Genomic DNA, 12188 nt, shown 5'->3' with positions numbered 1-12188 from the left:
GGATTTCTCTTGTTATTCTTTACAAATGCATGCGACTTCACAGTTATTTCCATTTATTAAAGTTTATGTTTATTGTCTGCTGTCTGAGGTATGGTAAAATATAGTTTTACTTAAAGCTTATATAACACTTTCCTTTCCTTCTAGCCTCTGATAACTGTGTCCCTAGTGCTCCCTTCCCAGTTCCAAGCTAATGCTACATTGATGTGTATGTGTGTGCGGAGGTGGGGGATGGCTGTCGTTATGGCAGCATGTCATTGGTCATCACCAACCCCCTCACTCCAGGAGGCACTTCTGATATAGCAGTCACCAACTGGAACATTAAGGGCTACCTTTGAATATCAAGCAGTGGCCAATTTGCCCCATGTTGGCTTTATCACTTAGCCTCACATTTTGAGTAACATGACCACATCTAACTCCAGGGAGACAGAGAAGCCTCATCCTATATTATATTGCAATGAGAAGTGGAAATATTTGATAATTTCCCCTTCATTTACAAATATGAAAAAGTATTTTTTTGCTATATAATTGTCTTATGGTTTTTGACAACTGTCTTCTTTAATTTAATGTAAAACTTCATTAAGCCAAAACTATTCTAACTTAGCATCCAGGTGTGTGAAACACAGAGAATGTGGTGGGTAGTGAAGGGGGAGAGGATGAAGCTGAGAATTCTATTGAGATAAATTAACTCTGATACAGAATGAAAGACTAGAGTGGATATGAGTTAAATTCACATGAGGAAATTTTGGGTAGTATAAATGATGGCTCTAACAACGACTGAAAAGATGGGCAGTGACTGGAATCTGATGATAATGTTGAATAGATAAAACCCTGGGGCCGCTCTCTCTCTTGGTATGTGTCTACATCTGTCTATCTGTACATACATGTATACACACACATACACAATTTAAGCCATTATGATTGGGATATTCTTTACATTGCTAAATAAAACACATTAACAAGTAGAGTTTCTTTTTTTTTTTATAGAGACCAAGTCTCGCTCGGTTGCCCAGGCTGGAGTGCAATGGCGCTATCTCTGCTCACTGCAACCTCTGCCTCCTGGGTTCAAGGGATTCTCCTGTCTCATCCTCCCGAGTAGCTTGGATTACAGGCGCACACCTCCACGCCGGCTAATTTTTGTATTTTTAGTAGAGACAGGATTTCACCATGTTGGCCAGACTGGTCTCAAACTCCTGACTTTAAGTCATCCACCCTCTTCAGCCTCCCAAAGTGCTGGGATTACAGGCATGAGCCACTATGCCAGGCAACAAGTAGGGATTCTATTCCATTGTCTACCGATGGTCATAAGTATGCATTTCTTAACCTGTCAGGCGTGCCTTTATTCAAAATTGACTGACAAAAGCCTTTCCTCTTTAAATGCTCAATTTAATTGCAATTTTTCCCATTAATTATTTGGACTACAATTTATCTAGTCTGTTAAACCAGTGTGGTGATTGGATTTAGTTGATGCATTATACCATAAATTTAGTATATTTTCAAATAAATTAATGATTATTTTTACTTTTTGACACTTTTTAGCTGGCAAAAAAGAGAAATCTTTGTCAATCAGTTATTCAGGAAGGACACAGAAAGACTGAATCTCTGAGCTTTTAATACTTTATTCCTACAGACTTTATTCCATTGGATTTAATTTATAGACATCTATGTCTCCTACTAAATTAAGGCTCAGCCAAGGATTTTGATTTACTAAATTTTAACCTATAATTTTCACAAATAAAGGAAATAAAGTGCATACTCAGAGGAAAAGTAAAATAAGGGAAAGTGAAAGCCATTCCACAATGTATACATATTTCAAAACAACTTATTGTACATTGAAAAAAATATATATATATTCAATTTTTAGTTGCCAATTAAAACATGAAGAAAGAATTTGAGGGAGAATAGTAGGGTACTGTAAGGAGAGAAATACATTTATATGGGGCAATTTCTGCCTTTGAAATAATAACATTGTGGTGTTGCTGGTCTAAATAAGTTCAAATTATGAGAAACATAATAAGAAAAGAAGATGACGAAAATCCTATTTTTGATGTGCACAATATATATTTGTCAGACTTTGTTTGCTACTTGTGATTTAGTAATTCTGAGCTACTTTCATACTTTCAGTCTTTCAAATATATTCTCCCTTTCTCCTCTATGCTTTTGCTGAGTTGTTTCACATGCTTCAATGTGCTGGCACGGTATGTCTGTATGTCTGTCACTCTCTTTGGATTTCACGCTCTTGTGAGTGGAGATGGTGTCAGACAAATCCTCCCTTTCAAGGCTGGGATACCTTGCAAGTGTGGAGTCTCTAGCTGCAGAGTGTTTGAACAAATGGCTTCTCTTACTAGTAATTGAAGTCTATGAAACTAAGATGTGCCCTGTATTTTCCTATGGATTTCTTGGTGTCTATATCTATCAGCATCTTTATCCAGCCTCCTACAACCTCATTTGTCATCCCTTTCCTAGCTTTGTCGTTAAATATATTCATTAAACATACAAACAGGACAGTTAGAGCATACCATACAGAGAAGAAAGGTAATATTTCTTGTTCAGAGGCACCCAAGTTAAGACAGAAATAGGAAATCACTTTTATGTGACAGATTTATAGTGTAATATTCCCTTTTTCTAAAAAAAAAATCCAGGCAGAACAAACTCTTGTCTGTAGATGGAATATTACTGTTATATTTTCTATGGAAATAAAGTGAGTGGCTTAAACAGTGTCTAAAGAAGTGGGCATGGAAAAGGTGAGAGGAGACATTAAGGAATTCTCTTTGGACAGGTGTGGGCGAAAAGTGGTGTTTTTGGTTTAGAGTGGGGATAGTTGTTCTGGTTCCAGGCTAGGCCTGCCACCTGGGAAGATATTACCTAAGTGAAAAGGAGAGCTTAGGCAAGACCAGGAGAACACTATCAATCACTGGACCAAGACCAGTGAGAAGCTACAAGAAGTAAATATTGTCTGTGTAAATCAAGAGGCTGAAAGTCCAATAACACATTATGAATGAAGGGCACAACTAGAAAACAATAGAAAAGATCAACTAAACTAAGAATTGTTTTTAAAGAGCAGTAATATTGGCAAACTTTTATCTAGACTAAGAAAAAAAAAGAGCAGGCTCAAATAAATACAATCAGAAATGAAAGAGAAGACATTATAACCGATACCAGAGAAATACAAAGGACCACTAGAAATTAGTATATTTATACACGAGCAAATTGTATACCCTAAAACGAATGGCCAAATTTCTAGAAACATACAATATACCAAGATTAAATCATGAAGAAGTAGAAAATCAGAACAAACCAATGACAGGTAAGGAGATTGAATTAAGAAGACTCCCAATAAAGAAGAGTCCAGGACCTGATGGCTTCACTGGCAAACTCCACAAAACATTTAAAGAAGAATTTTCCCCAATTCGTCTCATAGTCTTTCAAAAAATTGAGGATAAGAGAACACTTTCAAACTCATTTTATGAAGCCAACATTACCCTCATACCAATGCCAGAGAAGCACACTATAAGAAAGAAAATAACAGTCCAACGTCCTTGACTAACACTGATAAAAAAAATTCTCCACAAAGTACCAGCAAATTGAATTCATAGCGTGTAAAAAGGATTATACACCATTATCAAGTGGATCTTCCCATAGGATACAAGGATGGTTCAACATAGGCAAATTGACAATTGTGATACACCACATTCATTAAGAGACAAATAATAAAAGTAAAGAATAAAAATTATAATATCAATAGATGCAGTTAAAGCATTTGACGAAATTTAACATCCTTTCATTACAAAAGTTCTCAACAAATTGAGTATTGAAGAAATGAACCTAAACATAATAAGGGCCACAAATGACAAGATCACACCTAACAATCTTACTCAATGGTGAAAAACTGAAAGCTTTTTCTCTAAGATAAGAAAAAAGATGAGGTTGACAACTCTCACCATTGCCATTCAACATAATACTGAAAGTTCTAGCCAGAGCAATTTGGCAAGAAAGAGACATAAAAGGCATCCAAATTGGAAAAAAAGAATTTCAAGTCCTTGTAGATAATGTGATCTAATATGTCTAAAATATAGACATATTAGATATATATCTAATATATCCATATATACATATATGCATATCTACATATATAGATATCTATATCGATATCTACATATATAGATATCCATATATACATATATGGATACATATATATGTATATATGGATATCTATATATGTATATACATGGATATCTATATATGTAGATATATGGATATCTGTGTATGTATATATGGGTATCTACATATATATGGATATCTACATATGTATAATATAGATATAGATATCTACATATGTATAATATAGATATAGATATCTAATATGTATAATATAGATATAGATATCTACATATGTATATATGGATATAGATATCTACATATGTATATATGGATATAGATATCTACATATGTATATATGGATATAGATATCTACATATGTATATATGGATATAGATATCTACATATGTATATATGGATATAGATATCTACATATGTATATATGGATATAGATATCTACATATGTATATATGGATATAGATATCTACATATGTATATATGGATATAGATATCTACATATGTATATATGGATATAGATATCTACATATGTATATATGGATATAGATATCTACATATGTATAGATGTGGATATCTACATATGTATAGATGTAGATATCTACATATGTATAGATGTAGATATCTACATATGTATAGATGTAGATATCTACATATGTATAGATGTAGATATCTACATATGTATAGATATACATATTATAAAAATTATATATGTCTATATACATATATGTGTGTCTATATCTATATATGTATATATACATATATAGATATCTATGTATATATACATATATAGATATCTATATGCAGATATCTATATACTATATCTATACATATATAGATATAGACACACATATATGTATATATATGTATATAGATATCTATATATGTATATATACATAGATATATGTATATATACATAGATATAATGATATAGACACACATATATGTATATACACATATATAATTTTTTAAACTATACCAAAATTGATTAAAAACTTTTAAATCAATTAAAAAATTGATTTAAAGTATACCAAAATTGATTAAAACTAACTAATTTGCAAGGATACAAAATTGGCATACAAATTTGCAAGGATACAAAATTTGCAAGGATACAAAATTGACATACAAAAATTGTGTTTCTATACACTAACAACAAATTTTTCAAAAAAATAAAGAAAATAATGTTATTTCTAGTGGCATCAAAAAGAATTAAATACTCAAGAATAAATTTAACCAAGGAGTGAAAGATTTATGCATTGAAAACTATAATATATTGATAAAAACATTGAAGAAAACACAAATGAATACAAACATATACTGTGTTCATGGATTAGTAGAATTAATATTGTTTAAATGTCCATTTTACTCAGAGTGATCTACAGTTTCAATGCCATCTCTATCAAAATTTCAATGACATTTTTCACAGGAATAGAAAAAAATCCTAAAATTTGTATGGAACCATAAATGACCCCAAATAGCCAAAGCAATTTTGAGCCAGAAGAACAAAGCTGGAGACACCAGACCTTTTGATTTCAAGTCATAATACAATGCTATAATAATGAGTACAGTATGGCACTGGCATCAAAACAGGCAGGTAGACCAATGGAAGAAAATAGAGGGCCCAGAAATAAACCCACACACACATGCTCAACTAATATGTGACAAAATTGTCAAGAAACTTAATAAAGGAAGGATAGTATCTTCAATAAATATTGTTGCAAAAATGGTTATTTACATTCAAATAATTAAATTGGACCCTTATCTTAACCCAGAAACAAAAAAAGTCAACTAAAATTATATTAAAACTTAAACACAGTACGTGAAACCACAAAGCTTCTAGAGGAAAAGAACGAAAAATCTCCTTGATATTGATCTTGGCAATGATGTTTTGAATGTGACACTTAAAGCGCAGCCAATAAATGCAAAAATAAACCAGTGGAACTAAATCAAACTAAGAAGTTTTTTGCACAGCAGTGAAAACAATCAACAGAATAAAGAGGCGATCTGTGAAATGGGAGAAATTATTTGCAAACCACGTATCCAATTAGAGGTTAGTTTCCAAATTATATAAGGGATGCAAACTCACACAACAGAATAGCAAGAATTCAAATGGCCTGAATAAAAAATGCACACAGATCCTGATTAGACATTTTCAAAGAAAACACACAAATGGCACACAGGTGTATGAGAATATGCTCAACATCACTACGCGTCTGAGAAATGCAAAACAAAACCTGTTAGAATGACTGTTATCAAAAAGACAAAAGATAACAAATGTTGTTTGTAAGGATGTGGAAAGATGGAAGCACTCTGTGTTGATCAGATTGTGAATTGGTACAATCATTGTCATGGCAGTGGTAGCCCCGTCTAGTGTGCCACTGAGAAGATGCTGGCTGCAGAGTGGAAGTCGCCCCGCACTCTACGTAGTTGGCGAGGTGGTAGCCTCACACTCCCAGGTGCAGCTGCAGCTGCCTAGCTACGGCTCTGAACCCAGGCATCCCTGCACTCTGAGAAGCCCAGGAAGCCCTCCCTGGCCCTGCAAGTTGGGAAGTGCCTGCTCCCGTCCCTGGCCTCTCCAGTTTCGGAGGAAAGTTGTGGCGGAAACCGGGTGCTGTTGCAACCCAGCTGGGTATGCGTGCACTCAGGATGGCATTGACACACCAGCATCCTGCCGTCTCGGCCCCCTCTGGACTTTGGGCACCTAGGAGCACAGGAGGGAGTCTGAGGGGTGGGCTGAGGGTAGCTCGGCATGAGCCTGCAGGCATTCCTCATCCCTTGGCACAAATAGCCTGGGCACCATGGATGGCATGTTGACGGCAGGAGGCAGACAGGCTCCTGGGTGGAAAGGGGCAGGTCCCAGGTGAAACCTCACCTTCAAGCCAGGGACAGCCTGAAGCCTGGTGGCCAGGCTGTCAGTTCTGGATGAAATCTGTGGCTTAGAGTGAAAACTCGGGGTGCTGTTTCCGGGCCTGCTCATGGATCCCTATAGACCAATCAGCACACACTTCCTCCCTGCTGAGCCCATAAAAACCCAGGCTGACTGGGAAACAAGTTGGGAATACCAACTGCGGGAAGGAGCTCCTCACTCAGGGTCTCCTCAACTCATCAGGACAGCCTGCCTGCAGAAAGGAACTACCCACTGCGGGTCCCCTCTCTGCTGAGAGTTGGGCAGGCGGTGCGATGACCTGCCTGCAGAAAGGAGCTACCTACTTCGGGTCTCCTGCAAGCTGCTCTGTCACTCAATTAAGCTCCTCTCCACCTGGCTCACCCTACAGTTGTCTGTGAATCTCCTTCTTCCTGAACATGGAACCCGTCTAATGGCAGGACTGAAAGAGCTGTAACACAAACAGGGCTAAAACATGGCCCCCTGCTCACCACGTTGCAGGCAAGGAGAAGTAGAGAGGAGTTGCGGCCCTTCTAGGAGCCGAAACCTCGGGGCTCCCTGAACCAGGGCTGTGACGCACTGTATTGCCCTCTTTGGGGGTCTAGGGTTCCTGTCATCTCCAAGATTTTGGGCATCATGGCAATCCCCTTGTCCAAATGCTGCTGACCTCAGTGGAAGCTGCTTGCAGTATGTCTTGTCCAGGCACAGCCTTGCCTGTAGCTGACACCTGTGCTGGTGCCTGGAGCTGCCCTAGTCGCAGCAGCCGCCAGCGTACCTGGCTGTGTGCAGTGGCCAGATCCCATGCTCACTTGCCCACACACCCCTCTCCACTCTGCGCCTGTCTCGTCCTTGGCAGGTGTGGGATCCGGGAGGGTATCGTAAGCCAAGCATAGCAGGTCAGGCCAAGCGGACGGAACAAGCCCAGCAGGCATGAGCAAAACCCAGGCAGAGGCACCACTGGCCACAGAGGTTTCAGCTGCTGAAGTGACACCCTAAGGATCCTGAGACAATTGTAGAGATTCTTCCAAAAACTAAAATTAGAACTACAATATGATCCAGCAAGTCCACTTCTGGATATGTTTCCAAATGAGATAAAAATCACAATCTTGAAGAGACATCTGAACCTCTGGAGTGAAGCATTACAACAGCAGAGTAATGTTGCAGCATTATTCACAGTGGACAAGACATGGAAACAACCAAAGTGTCCATTGATGGATGAATCGATAAAAAATTTGGTATTTACATATACTATGGAGAATTATTCAGCCTTAAAAAAGTAAAAAATCTTGTCATTTGCAATAACTTGGATGAACCTGAAGGACATTATGTTAAATGAAATCAGCCAGATGTAGGAAGACAAATGCTACATGACCTCAGTTATATGTGAAAATCTTTTTTAAAGTTATACTCCTAGTAAAAGAGAAGAGAATGGTAGTTATCGGGGGCAGAAGGTGGGTACTGGAAAAGGAAAAAAGTTCGTCAAAGAATATAAACTTTCAAGTTATAACACAAATAAATTTTGAAAATTTAACATACAGTATGATGACTCTTGTTAATAACAACGTATTGTATACTTGACATTTGCTAAAAAGTAGATCTCAAGTGTTCTCATTAAAAGAGGTAACTATGTGGAATAAGGGACATATTAATTTGCTTGGTTGTGTTAATTATTTTACAATGTATAGGTATATCAAAACACCATATTGCTCACCTTAAATATTTGTTCACCTTAAATATTGTTCACCTTAAATTTTTTCACCTTAAATATTGTTCACCTTAAATTTTTGTTTGCTAGTCATACCTCAAAAATTCGAGGCAGGCAGATCACGAGGTCAGGGGATCGAAACCATCCTGGCTAACACAGTGAAACCCCGTCTCTACTGAAAATATAAAAAATTAGCCAGGCGTGGTAGCGGGCACCTGTAGTCCCAGCTACTTGGGAGGCTGAGGCAGGAGAATGGCGTGAACCCGGGAGGCAGAGTTTGCAGTGTGAGCCGAGATCACACCACTGCACTCCAGCCTGGGTGACACAGCAAGACTCCGTCTCAAAAAAAAAAAAAAAAAAAAAAAAAGAAAAGAAAAGAAAAGAAAAAAAGAAAGTATTGATTATGGGAAAAAATTATGGTCAATATGACTGAGACACTACATTTTAACTTAATTAAATTTTAATTCATTTATATGATTCAACATTAATTTAACTTACTTTTTGCTTTTGATTTAATGTGGCTAGTGTCTACAATATTGGATGGCACATTTATGAAGTGTGTTTAAGAATGCAAGACTTTTTTTTACCATCTATCTGTAGAAGGAACTCTAAAAAGATACCTACACTCATCTGTAAAATGGGACTAATGATAAAACCAACTTCATTGATCTGTTGTGAAGAGTAAATTTAAAAGGTATAGAACAAAAATCATTTAAGAAAAGCTTAACAAGTATAAACTATTTCATAAATAGTAATGGTTACAATTATGTGGATAACGATATTATTATTCTATGAGAATAAAACACCATGTACCCTAACATGGAAGCGTGCAATTCCTGTGAGTGTCTGAAAAATGCCCTGTCGTTTGCATAAATGCAATTTTAGGTTTTGGCTGTCTCCATTTTAAAATAGTCATGAAGCCACTTCAACAGGTGTATAGAGAAGAAAATAGAGTGAATGTATTATAAGAAATTCTCTCTCAGGGCTCTCTAAAGGATTCAGATATTTTGGCCAAATGTATTGAGCAATCATCCTTACTTTACAGAGGTAAAGATGCAGGAAGTGTAATTTGATGTGACTACAATGACATGTGTTGATTCAATGGAACATGGGAGCAGTACTTTTGTATGGTGGAGAGGAACTAAAAGCTTAAGAAGGTGAAAATCAGCAAACAGCAAAGTGAAAATCAACGTAATAAAATTCCTCCTACTGTTTGTTCTTGGGTTTCCTCTCTTCATATCACCAGCATTCCATCTGGATGCTTCCCAAAGTGTGCTATAATTCCCATCCCTGGATCCTCTGAAATCAGTACAGGTCTCATTGAGGTTCCAGGTATTCATGATCCTAGCCTCAATTAGATATCTCAGAGAGTAATACAGAAAGGCCTATTAAAGAAAGAAAGTTGGGGGAGAAAGCAAAATTCTGATCCAACAAACAAAAACGTGGCACTATCAAACTACTTTCTGCAGTTTTATCTGATGTTTTATTAATGCAATAGCTGCATTTTAATTAACAGAATTCTTTATTGTACATGTACCCTGAGGGTGTTTGCAAAAAGGGCATGCACTTAAAAGTCTATAGAGTAGATAAATACGCAAATATTGCCTCAGACAACATTTCCCCACATGCACTGGTAATAGGTATTAATTACTGTACTGGGATTTTGCAGAGACAATTTTAGTAATCTAGGCATTTGCCTTCCTGTCCTCAGCTTCAAGGACAGAGATTATCATACTGGAAAGCATTTAAAAGGGAAACACTAAAGCGTTGGGGAATTTAACTAATCTGTAATGACTAAAATACATGAACATTTCCAAAAATTTCAGATTACTATCTCAATTTGGGTCGTCCTAGAAATGAACCCTGAGGCAAGGATTGGAGGGGCTGTAACTGATTTGAGAGAGAACTCAAGAATCACCAGTAAGGCAGTGGGAAACTGAGATAAGGAAGGAAGTGTGGCCAATAAAATTTGCAAAATTATCCGGTAGTCAACATGGGCAACTAAAGCAAAATTCTACTGGAGAATGCTAAAAGATACCACAGAGCATGCCTCAGAGCTATCCCAACTGAGGGATGAGGACATCGGTGAGTCCTCATGCTTTTACCCTGATGTACTTGAATGGAAGATGTATTTCTCTGACGGCATCTATGCATAAGGCCAGCAAGCTTTCCAGCCAGGATTAAACACACACACACACACACACACACACACACACACACACACACACACACACACACACGCATACACCACACAGAGCTCTCAGGCAGAAAGACACAGATGCCTGCAGTACGTGCCCCTTGCCATGTGAAGGTGAGTAGTAAGGGGATGTCAGCAACACCAACAATGTCTGCTTGAATCGCAATAGTTTCTATTGAAAAAAGGAAACCTGTGTGTATATTTGTCACTGATTACTTTCTATTGTAGCCAGTATGCACACTTTGGGATCAGAGAAACTTGACTTCAAATCTTCAGTCTATACCTTTAAATGGATGACTTTAGATAGTTTGTATAACAGCCATGTACATCTCTTTCATCATTGGGAAAATGGGAATAATATAATGTAGGTAGCAGTAGACTTATGTTGAAAAGCACATGAGATAATACATGCATAATTACTTAATGCTTTACATGAATATGTCTAATATACACTATATGAAAAAGTATGCAACAATTAATAAATGGCCCGTATTATTTATAATTACACTTTTCTGCATTCATGTAAAACGGCGTGTCTAAAAATGACAAAAATACGGTGATTGCAATCTCTTCAGCTTCTAAATGTGCTGATATCTGCATAGTGCATTCTAATAGTCAAGGAATTCATAACATAGGAAGTCTGATTCCATTATTTAATATTTATAATAAACACATTCGGTAGATGATTCTCTTCTTTGCTTAATTACTGGAAGTACTCACCTGCTCTCTACTTCAGGTTTCATCAAATGAACTCTTCTGCTCAGAAAAGGTGAGGTGCCCGTCTCTTCAATTCCTCAGATTTGTCAAATATCCAAAATTCTGCAAGTTCATGATGTATTAGTCAGAGTTCTGGAGAAATTGAGCCAAAACAATGTGTATGTGTTTGTACACATGTGTGCACATATGTTTCTCTCTCTGCATAGATACGTATGTATATATAGAGAAAGCACATTCGTGCAAGACTTTAAGAAATTAACTCATGATTGTGGAGATGCAAGTCAAAGTCTGCAGGGTGAAACCCAGGGAGGTTTTGCTGTTCAAGTGGAAGGCAGTCTGCTGCCCGAATCCCTTCTTGCTTGGGGAGGGAGAAATCAGTCTTTTGTTCTATTAATTAACTGATTGAACGAGGCCTATCCACATTAGAGAGGTCAATCTATTTTGCTCAAAGTCCACCAATTTAGAGAAGAATTTTATGCAGAAATCACCTTCACAGAAACATCCAGAATAATTGTTGACCAAATATCTGCTCATCTGGCCCAGCCAAGTTGACACATAACGCTAACTCTTGCATA

Source organism: Homo sapiens, chromosome 8 (assembly GCF_000001405.40).
Source record: "Homo sapiens chromosome 8, GRCh38.p14 Primary Assembly".
Taxonomy (NCBI): domain Eukaryota; kingdom Metazoa; phylum Chordata; class Mammalia; order Primates; family Hominidae; genus Homo; species Homo sapiens.
Note: the sequence above shows the minus strand (reverse complement) of the source record.